Source organism: Homo sapiens, chromosome 6, assembly GCF_000001405.40.
Source record: "Homo sapiens chromosome 6, GRCh38.p14 Primary Assembly".
In the NCBI taxonomy this organism is placed as follows: domain Eukaryota; kingdom Metazoa; phylum Chordata; class Mammalia; order Primates; family Hominidae; genus Homo; species Homo sapiens.
In genome coordinates, this window is record NC_000006.12 from 47,902,172 (window position 1) to 47,914,961 (window position 12,790).

The 12,790-nt window shown below is 37.8% G+C and overlaps 1 protein-coding gene across 9 annotated transcripts in view; it reads right to left on the minus strand.

Moving 5' to 3' along the window:
* PTCHD4 (patched domain containing 4) overlaps positions 1-12,790 on the minus strand; it is a 254,525-nt gene that overhangs the window by 45,499 nt on the left and 196,236 nt on the right. The window lies entirely within an intron of this gene.

Consider the following 12,790-nt stretch of genomic DNA (forward strand, 5'->3'; position numbering starts at 1 on the left):
TATTTTAATTCTTAAATGTTTCATACACATCAATATTTCTTTTTAAAAAATCAAGTTAAACAGGTATTTATTCAACATTCACATGCTCTGGGTTTTGAGGAATTACAGAGAGGGAGATTCAGATACATTCTATTTTGAGGAGCTTACAGTCTCACTGGGTGAAGGCATATATTCAAGAAATACTTAAATAAGAATTCAAGATACTTTGAAGGCACTTTAAAATAGGAAATTTGGTATCTGTTGTCCCTACCCACTATGTTCAAGGTACTGCATAAAATTCAGGGGTAAAACTATAAAAGCTCAGGGAAATGCATAAATGGGAAAGTTTGCGTGAAGGAAATGATTCTAGAACCCAGAAAGATGAAGAGGATTTAAATTGATAATGAAATGGGAGACATTTAGTGAAAAGTTCAACTAGAAGATTAATTAGCAATAGTTTTCACTTCCATTTCAAACAAAGCAACCAATTTTAAAAATTTCAAGTAATTTTTCTTACTGTGGCCTCCTTTTAATTACATATAAATGAATTCACGTTCTAATCTTTCTTTTTCTATGGAGGGGTCATTGTAAAATACATCTTACCTTGAGCCAATTTTGTATGTCCATAAATAACCCATGTACACTTTTGAATATTAAAAATTTTGATGTTTTTCTTTGTTACAAAGTGTAAACATACATTCGTATAATAGTTTCCATTTAAAGTTATAAAATAAATTGTCTTGGAGCTCTCTAAAAAGAGCGCTTTTGGCATTATGATGACCCGAGAGTGAAGGTCTGGTTAGCACAGATAATTTAAGCAAAACTTCTCAATATCAAATTTTCGTGTGTGCATTTAATTGAGGGAAAAAGGTACAAGTTGTCTTGGTTTTGTAACTTAATTTCCTTTCCTTCAAATCTATCCTGTCAATGGAGAGAGATAGTTTAGAAGGAAAGAAGTGGCCAAAATGCAACTCTGAAGTATTCTTAATTTGAGCACAAAGATGAGTACAATATGTACAAACTTTTTTTCAGCTTGACTAGTTTCTTGAATATTAAAAGAGAAAGAAAAGAAAAAACTACTTGTGATAGTATCTTCGTTCAGGTACAGAGGTGTCTATAGGGGGAGATGATCATTAATTAATTAATTAATTCATTCATTCTTTCATTTTTTCTTTTTGTTTTTTGAGACAGGATCTCCCTCTGTCACCCAGGCTGGAGTGCAGTGGCACAATCTCAGTTCACTGTAGCCTCAACCTCCCTGGCTCAAGTGATTCTCTCACCTCAGCCTCCCAAGTAGCTGGGACTCTAGGCATGCACAACCATGCCAGACTTTTTTGTATTTTTTGTAGAGATGGAATTTTACCATGTTGCCTAGGCTAGTCTCAAACTCCTGGGCCCAAGCGATCTGGCTGCCTTGGCCTCCGAAGGTGCTGGGATTACTGGTATAAGCAACCATGCCTGGCCCATTAATTCATTATTTCATTCAATATATATTTATTGAATGTATACTATGTGTCAGGCACAGTTCTAGGCATTAAGAATACAGCAATAATCAAGGCAGAGCAAGTCCCTTCCCTCATGGGACTTACATTCTAGTGAAAAAGACAAACAATAAATAACATAAATAAGCACATTATTTAATATGTTGTATATTGATGAATTTTGAAACTGAAGCAGAACAGAGGGGTTAGAAGCATCTGGGGTGTGAGTGGTGGATTTTTGATAGGGCAGCCAAGAAAGGTCTCACCATGAAGATCACTTTTAGAAGATGGCCTGAAAGAAGGGAGGAAGCTGGCTGTAATGTCTTCAGGAGAAGCATATTCCTGATAGAGAAAACCTCAAGGGCAAAGGCACTGAAGCAGGAGACTGCCTGAAATGTTCAAGGAGTGGCCCAAAGCCCGGGTGGCTGGAGTGGACTGAAAGAAGGGAGGATTGATAGGAGATGAGCTCAGAGAGATAATGGTGAGGGGCAGATGGAGCCTTGCAAATCACAGCAAAGACCTTGGATTTTGCATAGAATAAGATGGGAGGCCATTAGATAAGATCACCTTGGTTGCCATCATGAGAATAGAAGACAGGGATAAAAGTGATGAAGGGTCAGTGCCAGTTAGGATAACCCAGGCATTACAGATGTGTTATCTAAAGCTGTGTTTCTAGGCATTTAGAGCAGAGGTTGGCAAACTAGAGCCTGTGGGCCTAAACCAGTCTGCGGCCTGTTTTGGAAATAAATTTTGTTGGAACACAGTCACACTCATTCATTTACATATTGCCTATGGCTGCTTTCCCCCTACAATAGCAGAGTTGAGTAGTTGTGACACAGACCATACACGTAGCAAAGTGGAAAATATTTAGTATCTGGCTCTTCACAGAAAAAGTTTGCCCACCTCTGACTTAGAATCTCCTGGAAAGAGGATTATAGCAGTAAAGCTATCTCTTATGTGCAAAATAGAACAGGAGCAAACCATTACAATTGTGTACAAACTTTGCAGAAGGTAGAGAGGATTATTTCTGGGTTGTAGTGAATGGTACAGTATGAAAATATGATTAGTCTTTTAATAACAGATAATGAATATCATTCATACATTCACTCAAGAAATATTCTTTGAAAACATTTAGCAATCAAAGTTTAATGTGCTAGAGAGATATCAAATACATAAACCTTTAGTAAGTATAAATTACAAAAGCTCTAAATGCTATGAAGAAAAGGCTTAGAGTTCAATGGTGAGAAAACAAGGAAAACAATTTACATTAGATGAGGCCAATGGAAATGCCATTTGAGTTAAGACATGAAGTGGTGAAAACATGGGGAAGAAGAATTTCATGCACAAGAAATGATGTGCAAAGGTGGTAAAATAGAGAATTAGAAGAAGAACTAGGAAGAAAATACAGCCATCACACACACACACACACACACACACACACACACACACACACATAAATGAATGGATAGACTTTTGACAGCAACGTGGAAACAGTCATAGAACGTGGCTGGAGATGATGAGTTGTTTGAAAAATACTGGGCTTTGTAGATCATATGAAATTGTTTTAATTTTATTGTAAGTCAAAGTCATTGAAGGATATAGGCAAAAACGTGGTAGATTTTACCTTTTATATACCACTCTGGCTGCAGTAAAGAATATGAATTGAAACGGGCCACTAATTGAAGTCCAGGGACTGACCAGTCAGGAGCTGGTTTGCAGTGGCTTAGTAGAGAGATGATGATGGTGGCTTAGACTAAGTTGGGTCTATGGTTTAATTCAGCAAACATTTATTATATTGTTACTATGAACTAAATATTATTCTGGGTTCTATATTGAGAGTAGCAAAGAGAAATGAAAGCTGTCTGTGCTTTCAATAAACTATAGCTCTGAAGAGTAAGAAAAATGTGCAAGTAATTGTTACATGTAGCCTACTATGATAAATTATAAATTCCATATGACTACTTGGAACAAGAGCACTAGTGGAGCCCAAAGGAAGGAAAATTTATATTAGCTTGATTGGTGAGGAAATGTAGTTATTACTGTATCCCCAATGTGCATAATACATCAACACATCACACAGAGTAGAGGCTTGGGAAATACTGGGAGAATGCCCTCGATCATGTCACTGAACTCTTGTCTAATTATTTCCAAACACAGTAATTTCTGTAACTGCATCTCTCAACCTCAGCTCCTTTCTACCCTTTTTCTTGTTGCTACCAGTCGGCCTATGGCTTGCCATCAGCACCTCCTGAGGCCATGATCAGACAGCTTGCCAGTACAACTGTTTCCCCTACTGAGCTAGCAGCTTGCTGGACTCTATTGCTTGTTGCTTGTTGTCTGTGGGGCCCCTGGGGGCCCATCAATTTTCCTTCTATCTGTCAATCTGTGCCTGGCTTCACAGTGTAAAAAGAAGCCAAGAATAAGAAATGAAGATTCCAAATAAAGTTGAAATACTTCACAGAAGTCCAGGATCTCACAAATGTACCCTGTCTTGTGGCCAAGACTTACTCAATTCAGGTTGGATCTCTATGAGAGCTGTGGAGTCCCAGCCATTCCAAGAGTGCCTACACACACGAAGAGTTTAATGAATATTAGTTAAACCAAAAAATAAAAAGCAAGCTGTGGTGAAGTTTCAGTTAGGCCAGTTCACAGCTGTCATTGCACACAGTGAAGACTATCAAGAATGTTTTCCTGCTGCTAGAGAGAGAGTCCACCAAGCCTCAGTCTTTTCCTTGCCCTCCAAGCTGGAATCACTTCCACTTGTCGGATCAGTCTCACTCAGCATGAGACATATTGCAAACTTTACTCGCATTCAAGAGATGGAGCCTGGTGTTAGGCCACGAGCCATATACTCTGGTTCTTTTGAGGGGTGGGGCAGGATAGAGTACTGATTAAAGCCAAGTGTTTGGAACCTAGATCTTCTCATTTTCTCTTTTTGCACCTCCATTTTCAGACTACATGATGTGGGCAGATTTCTTGCTTGCCCAAAACCCAATTTCTTCATTTATAGAAAGTGAATAGCAAAATCTTCTACCCAGGATAAAATCTTTAGTGTATATCTTGACATAATATCAGTGTTAGATAAGTGGTAATTATGGTGAAATCTCTGCGGTGACATTTCTGTATTTTGCACAGTTTGGATATAAGGGGATTGGCAGTTTCCCACAGAAGGCTCACTCTCACCATTTCACTAACTTTACAGTAGTGAGACCTTCACTTTTGGGGAGCCCACTTATAGAGTTATTTTGAATTTACTGTATTAGTATTTATTGATCTATAATTATTACTCATGCAGAAACTTAATCATAAGTCAGTTTAGGAAAGAGACAGGAAATGTCAACTCTGACATGCTTCCTCCCATCTTTGTTTTCCAAAGTAGGACCATTTTAAACGGTATACATCAGCATAATGCCTGCATTTTGTTCTTTCCACATAGAACACCATCTGAAACGAACAGGTTTTCAAATCTTGGATGGAGCTACAAGTCTCTAGTGTCCAAGTGGAATTGGTGGGAAGGGGTTTTGGAAATGACTGTACTCGGAACAGAGAAAACTTTTCTCAGTAGAAGACTGTTTGCCTCCTCATGAGACCAGTAAAATTTCCTGAGATTCTGCAGCCAAATGGTCTTGGTATTATTTTACATTAGTCCAGGGTCCCAGAAGCACAACCACTGTGTAGAATGGGCTTTGTTAATGATTATAATAAATAAGGTGAGACTTCTGATTTTGTGCAAGATTGAAAAGACTCATTTCATTCTCTGTCTCCCACTAAATATAATTATAAAACCCTGGCCATAATACAAGAGACAAGAAGAAGAAAACTGTGAAAGGAGGAATGAAGAGAATAGATAGACTGACTAAGGAGCTAGGGGTTTTAATAGCATGGGATGAATGCCCTCTGTTTTCTTTTTGCCTTCCATACACCCTAGGCTTGGGGCTGGAGAAGCCCATGACTTGGAAATGCCAAAAGGCACAGCCAAAAAGTCCTGTTAAAAGTCTGCTCTCTATCACCAAAGGACCAGAAAATAGCTGGTCCAGCAGGATACCAATATTTTTGACAATAGTCGCCCCATTCCAGCAAAACATCATGAAAAAAACCATGCCTACCTCTGTTCCCCTGTGCTGCTGGCAAAGGTTGAGCAGGGAGCCTGGACTTCCAATTCCACCTGTGGCAAGGTAGCACACAGCTTTCAGAATCCCCTGTAGCCAGGATGGTGTCAGCAGACTGTAGGGGAAACCTGGACTCCCCTACTTCCACCTCAAGCTATGTTTCTCCCTCTATCAATTAGTTAGAAGGGGAGGATTTTGGAGAGGAGGAAGCTGGAGAAAGGTTTTCTTTAAACCTTTATATGGGCAAACGCTTAGCAACCCTTACATGAAATTGATTAGAATTAACACTGTAAAAGATTTGAGAAGAGTTACAGTATAGAATACTGCCCAAGCTATGGATTGGCCCCTGAGTAGCCCACACACAAAGCAGACCCAAAAAGCACTGCAAAGGCTGTGAAAACTGAGTTGTCATTGGAACCATAGCCCCAAAAGGCAGACCAGAACCTCCATGATGAGTCTAAAGAGGGACTCAGCTAAAAGAAAACTAGGATCTATAACATGGTCTTATAACGTGGTGCTCCAAATGTCCAGTTACTATTATTATTGGGGTGAGCACTGAACTTTCTAATGGCCATCAATCAATTCTCAGTCTGCCCCTCACCCTCCAGCTCTTGCCCATGAATTGGGATTTTGTCTCCTTTTTCCTGCCTAGAATTCAAAGTCGTGATTCCACCTCAAGCATCACATGCATTGACTAATGCCTCCAGGACAGAGAGCTGATTCTGCTCCACATGGCTTCTGCAATGAATGGACTCTAGTGAATGGATCAGCTGATATAAATATGATATTACCCCATTGTGGGGGTCCTTTTGAACATAATGCCCAAAGGAGTCTGTGAGCTAAGTCAGTTTCCCTCATGCCACTCTTTGTCAATCTATTCTGGGCTGGAAGTCACCACCTCTCAGTAACGCATCTTATCGAGACCTCGTCATGGTTTCTACCAATGTTTTCTTAAGGAATGTCATGGTTTTTAGCAGAAATGATAAATGTAACTCACCAAATCTTTTGGTTGTATCTAATTATGCCATGACTATAAATTCAGCTGCCTAGGACCCATATCTTTCCTACTAACTATTATGAAATATTCATTTTAATAAAATTCTTCCTTGAGAGTAAATGTAAAACTGTAGGTGACTAATGATCCGTTTGAAAAGATTACAATATGGAATAATGAAATAATAATAATGATGCAAATAGAAAAGACACAACGCTTTGCTCATTTAAAAAGTCTCTCTCTCAGGAATACTGCATAAATGAAATATCTAACTACTTAGCAGGTTGCCAGGTATACATTGGGCAATAATATATATTTACTAAAATTAAAACCACAAATTATGTTTTGAATGATTTGTTCACACTAATATACAGGCTTAATGCTACTTTAGTCAGGAGGGTCAAAATAAATCTAGAAGGGAACTGTAATCCTGAGATAAAAATTATTATTGTAATTTGAGGTAGTTTAAATACCAGAGAGAATACACATCAAACACCTAGAGACTATAGATTCTGCAAAGTCATGCCAGTTCTCCAATCTCTGAGAAATGTTAAGTTAAATCTTTTCTTCATATGATATGATGTAGATTAGTATGTAAGTACAAAATGCTAACCTAAAATGGGGAAATTGAAAGGTTTTGCTCACATGATATTATCATAAACCAGTAAGCATGCAATGCATATTTTCTTAATATATTTAAATTAGAGACAAAAGTTATATGCTCAAAACCTTATTAATATTCAATAAAAATTTAAATATTTTAATATTTTACAGTGTTAAGATGCACACTGTAACCTTGACCTCCTGGGCTCAAGCGGTCCTTCTATCTTGGCCTCTTGAGTAACTAGAACTACCACACGCTGGATAATTGTTTTTATTTTTATTTTTTGTAGAGACAGGGTATCACTATATTGCCTAGGCTGGCCTCAAACTTCTGGCTTCAAGTGATCCTTCTGCCTTGGCCTCCAAAGTGTTGGGATTGCAGGTATGAGCCACCATGCCTGGACTTTTTTTTTCTATCTTTTGACTTCTTTTAGATTTTCTTGGCCAAGTCCATTCTTCCTTTTTTCCTTTCTTCCTCACTCCCTTCTGTCCTTCTCTTCTAATTAATGACATTATAATATTATACATCATAGCCCCAGCTATGGTTTGGCATGAGAAATGTCAGGTTCAGTCTAAAGTTTATCTCTCCAATGTTTTTGGGAAAACTTCGTAATAACTTGCTATTAAATTTATATAAACGTGTTTGTTTTTAGCTGCTTTTAGGAGGTCATTAATAACTGATTAATATTTACAAAATCTGACCAAAAGCAGTGAGTTTAGTAGGAGATACTTAAGATCTTGGCACTATTGCCGTTGCTCTTCACTGGATGTGTAAAACACTTCTGTCTCCTCTAGGACTTTCTCCATTGTAGACATTGATACAATGTCATCTTCCTTAGTTAATATTTTGGTGTTTTGTTTTTATCATTTATTCACTTTATGATATGATGGATCAGCAGAAGAGACACTGTTTACCTCTTGCCTCACCTAGTCAAGACGTCCATTGCCATATGGAGCTACTCAAAACACCTCCACAAGATGGAGAATCCATTAGTTCAAACCTGTGTCTGTTAGCCCCCTATAACTTGAACAACCACAGCACAGAGGGAGGGCATATTACTTTGCATATTTCTGTTCATAAAATTAGAGCCTTATTTCTCATTGTGTGTTTATTTTTTTCCTGTCTTCCCCTAATAATGGAATCACCTTAATAAAACCCTTTAGAAACAATTTTCCAGTCTAAGCTACACATTTCCATACAAATAATAAAGAGAATGTGTTAGAAAAATACATTCTTTTAGCTTTGGTTCTTTAAATCAAGATAGCCCTTGTAAGCTACTGACTCCTTGTGAGTCTACATATTTTTTAAATCTCTGGTATGGCATCATTATAGCCCTCCCTCCTGAATCTTAGTATCCACTCCCTAAATATCCATTGTTCCAAGAGACGTGTAGTCTCTTCTCTTGGTAAGAGATAGCCATATGATTTGAAGATGTTAAGGGGTTTTGAAAAGCAATAACACCCTCGCTGAGACTTTGGATAGAAGAATATGTTATAAACATTTTTAGTTAAAATCTACCCCTTCTCCTCACGTATAAATATTTATTCACAGTGCAGTATGTTGGTCACTGTTTTAGGCACCAGACATACAGGAGAGAACAAAATTGGCAAAGCACATCTTCTTAGTGAAGCTCATGACCTAATAGAGGAGACAAATATTCAACATCATCAACAACAACAGCAAGTAGCTGTATGTAAAAATAAAGCCAAAGAATGATTAGTGCTTGTGGTGGTCACTTGCTTACTGTTCTTGGATCCATTCCCAGTTTTTCCCCTGGAAAATATATTCCCAAAGGTTCCTTGCACTCTGGTCTTCAGCTAGCTTTGGTCAAAGGGAAGCACTAACAGGAGACTGGAGAGCAAGGGGATAAAAAATATCCAGAGTATTTCTTTTCCCTTCTTTTTCAGGCAGTGCATCCTACAAATGGCTGCATCTCCTCTAGATAAGCCACCTGTCTTCTGTATGTAAGCCACTATGTAAACCTACCACTCCCCACCCAAGGGCAGCTCTTGGGCTCTGGTGACACTCTCTCACTTTCTCCCTCAAGCACTAAAGTTTTAGCAATTTCCTGTTTGTTTCTAATCTCTATGCTGCTTCTTCCAACTCCTTTATTACTATTTCTTTACATCACAAGTCTTCTTTTGAGTCACCTACTGTGGATTCTTTTTCCATATAGGACCTTGTGTAACACAGTACAATGAAGTTGGAGGAAAGGAGTAAAGGATGATGTCCAGGTTTTGAGCCTTGGCAACCCCATGGTCAGTGATGACATTGACTGAATTGGTAAAGACTTAATGAGGAATAGTCATGGAAAGGGCTCTGAGGATGGCAGGAACCAATAATTTTATTTTGCACATGTTAAATTTGAGATGACCGGTAGAGTAGACATCTACATTCTGATGTCAAGTAGGCATTTAAACATGTGTGTCCAGAGTCCAAGGGAGAAGACTGAGCTAGAGATGAATTCTGGGAATCATTCATGTATAGATAGCCAGGAGACTGGATGAGATCTAGGGAATAAATGCTGAGAAATGTCAAAGAGACCCTTGGACTAAACCTTGGAGCAATTCAATATTTAGAAGGTGGATAGTGGAGGAGGATTCAATGAAATAGACTGAGAAGCAGCATCCAGGGAGGTAGAAAAATAATTGGAAGAATGTGGCAACAAGGAGTCAAGTGACACAAGTGTTTCAAGTGGAGGGCATGATCAATTGTGTCAAATGTTGCTCTGGGGCTGATAAAGAAGAGAATAGAGAATTGACCATTTGATTAGGGTTATTACCCACTCCCCTCCAGCATCTGTGATGATGGTAGCAGGGTTTTGCTCAAGGGACAAAAGGCAGCAGATCTGGAAAACCAAAGGATAAAACATATCCTTCATGCAACTAGACAATAGACACCTTCTTGATCTAGAAAAGGAAGAAATTCCCACCCCCATCCCATCCCCCACCAAACCCCATCCCAGTGGAGGGTAAGTTTCTGAAATTAGAAAAACCTACAATGCCTTGTCCTGTAATTCTGGGCCAGAAGTTCTCAGTTGGACAGGTTATGACATTTTGAGTAGGAGAATTCTGTAAAACTGGCCTTGCCAATGCATTACAAGACTTTTGGTATCCTTGACCATTGCGTCCCCCAACACTAAATGCCAAAATAGTTACACTTACTTTTTAATGCTCTCCTCTCTACATGTCCATTTTTCATTGTTACCAACTGTATTTCCATTTCCTCAGTCTCACTATTACCTTCCTTCATACCTTCTTTGAATGTTTTCTTTTTCAGACATTTAATAATTCAAATGAATAAGAATTAGTGACATTATTATTGGGATCAATAATTGATGAACTGTAACAATAGTAGGGAGATAATTTGAGGTAAAATAAACCCTTCATCTTGTCAAATAATATAATTCATTGAACTATACATTAAAAAAATATTATCTGCAAGGCTTTGTTCCAAGAGCAGCACAGAGTGCAAAGTGGGAAATTTTGGTGACTTGAATTTCAGTGGAAATGCTGAGCAACTCCTGTTTCTCCCTCCTCTTCCTCCGAATAATCTTTAAAATGTTCTTTTTAGTCTAGCTTTTCTATCTTTCGCCTTGCTTCCCCATGTGATTGCTCAAGATGAGAGTGAGAATCTCTCTTAAAAGTCATCTTAGACAGTCATCTCTAGTTCTGAGTGACCAGCACTGCTACAAGCTAATTTATCCCCAATTTTACAGTTTGTATTTGTTAAAAACTTGAGTTTCTGTCATTCTGTTTGGATCCTGGGTCCAGTCCTGGCCCTACCCCATATTGGTTGTGTCACTTTGTGCCAGGCACTTAGCTTTCTATGCTTCAGTTTTCCTCATCTGTAAAATGGGAATTCAATAGTAGTACTAATCTCATAGGGTTTTTATGAGGATTAAATAATATTCTGTTTATAATGACAGTGTCCCAGTGGGGAGCACTATAAAATGAGGTTTGCGAAATATCACTTTGCACACCAAGAAAAAGTCATATTTATTTCCTCTAATGAGGACAAGTATCTCACACTATTTAGCTTCTTTTGATTTGGGTGACTTGCAATCCCAATCCTCATTTCCAGAAACTGAAGCAATGTGTTTCTCTTTTATGTCATAATTTATTTTTTCACTCTGGTAAAAAATCAGAGAAAGAAAATGATTGAATTTTGAGTAAAGGTTTTGCACTTTCAGGGCAAACTAGTGCTTAATAAGATAAAGTCATTGATTCATAATGGGGAAAATATTATATATTCTGGGTTAGATTGGTGTAGATAAAAGTAGAAGTTGAAACCCCTTTGAAAAGGACTACCACTGTAAGCAGTGACCCCAGTGCACAGAAACAAAGAGAGCCCAAATTATTTTCTAACCACTTCTCATTTCAAGGCTCCAGTTATTTCAAAGAAAAAGTCTATGAGCAGAGATGCCGAAACTGAAGAATGCTGGAGGAGGCTGATTCTGCAGAGGTTGTTAAAATGTAGATTCTAATGCCCCTTCTCTAAACATTTTTCTGTGATTGAGTTGGAGTTCAGAAACTTGCTCTTTTAAAAAGCATCTAGGCAATTCTGATGCAGGTTATCTCTGAGGTAGATATTAGCACACTCTGTATCCAGACTGCTGGACTCTGTTTCTGAATATATGTGATGTACAAGTGTTAACATAATAGTGATTTTTTTTCTCTCATGTTTGTTATTGTCCAATGATCTGGCTATGCCATACCACAAATATGAATAACAGTGGGAAAATGCAGTTAATTTACAAAATACATTCAAATACACTTATGTTTGGTATTATATACACAAAATATCTGTATGGATGATAGAATCTTTTTGTTTTCTTTACCAGTATGTTTTGTGTTTGTTTTAGCAGCCATTTAAGTGTTTTCTTACTGTCATTGTGACAATTAACTTCATGTGTCAACTTGACTAGGCTGCAGGATGTGCAGGAGTTTGGTTAAATGTTATTCTGGGCATGTCTGTGAGGGTGATTCTGGATGAGATTCGCATTTGAATTAGTACACTGGGTAAAGCCAATTGTTCTCAATGTGGATGGGCCTTATCCAACCCAGTGGAGGTGAGAGTAGAACAAAAGGCAAAGGAAGGGAGAATTTGCTCTCTCTGACTGAATGTTTTTGAGCTGGGACATCAATTTTCTCCTATACTTGGACTTGAACTTACACCATTGTCTCTCCTAGGTATTCATCTTCCAGAAGACATATTATGGGAGCTCTCAGTCTCCAGGATCATGTGAGTTCTTTATAGTTAATCTTTCTCTCTCTAATTAGTATTAATATAATATTATTATAATTAAAATATATAAAAAGATTTTTATATAATAGAACCTATCTATCTATCTATCTGTCTGTCTGTCTGTCTCTCTGTCTGTCTATCTATCTATTATCTATCTATTATCTATCTATCTATCTATCTATCTATCTATCTATCTATCTATCTATATTTGTACCATCTCCTGTTGTTTCTTTTCTTCTGGAGAACCCTGATTAATACAGTCAAGTAAATCAATAAAGAAAGAAGAAATAAAAGAGTGAGTACTGTGTAAATCAGTCAAAAGGGAGCATGAAAGTGATATACTATTTATCATAATGTTCTTTCTTCTCTCCTCTTT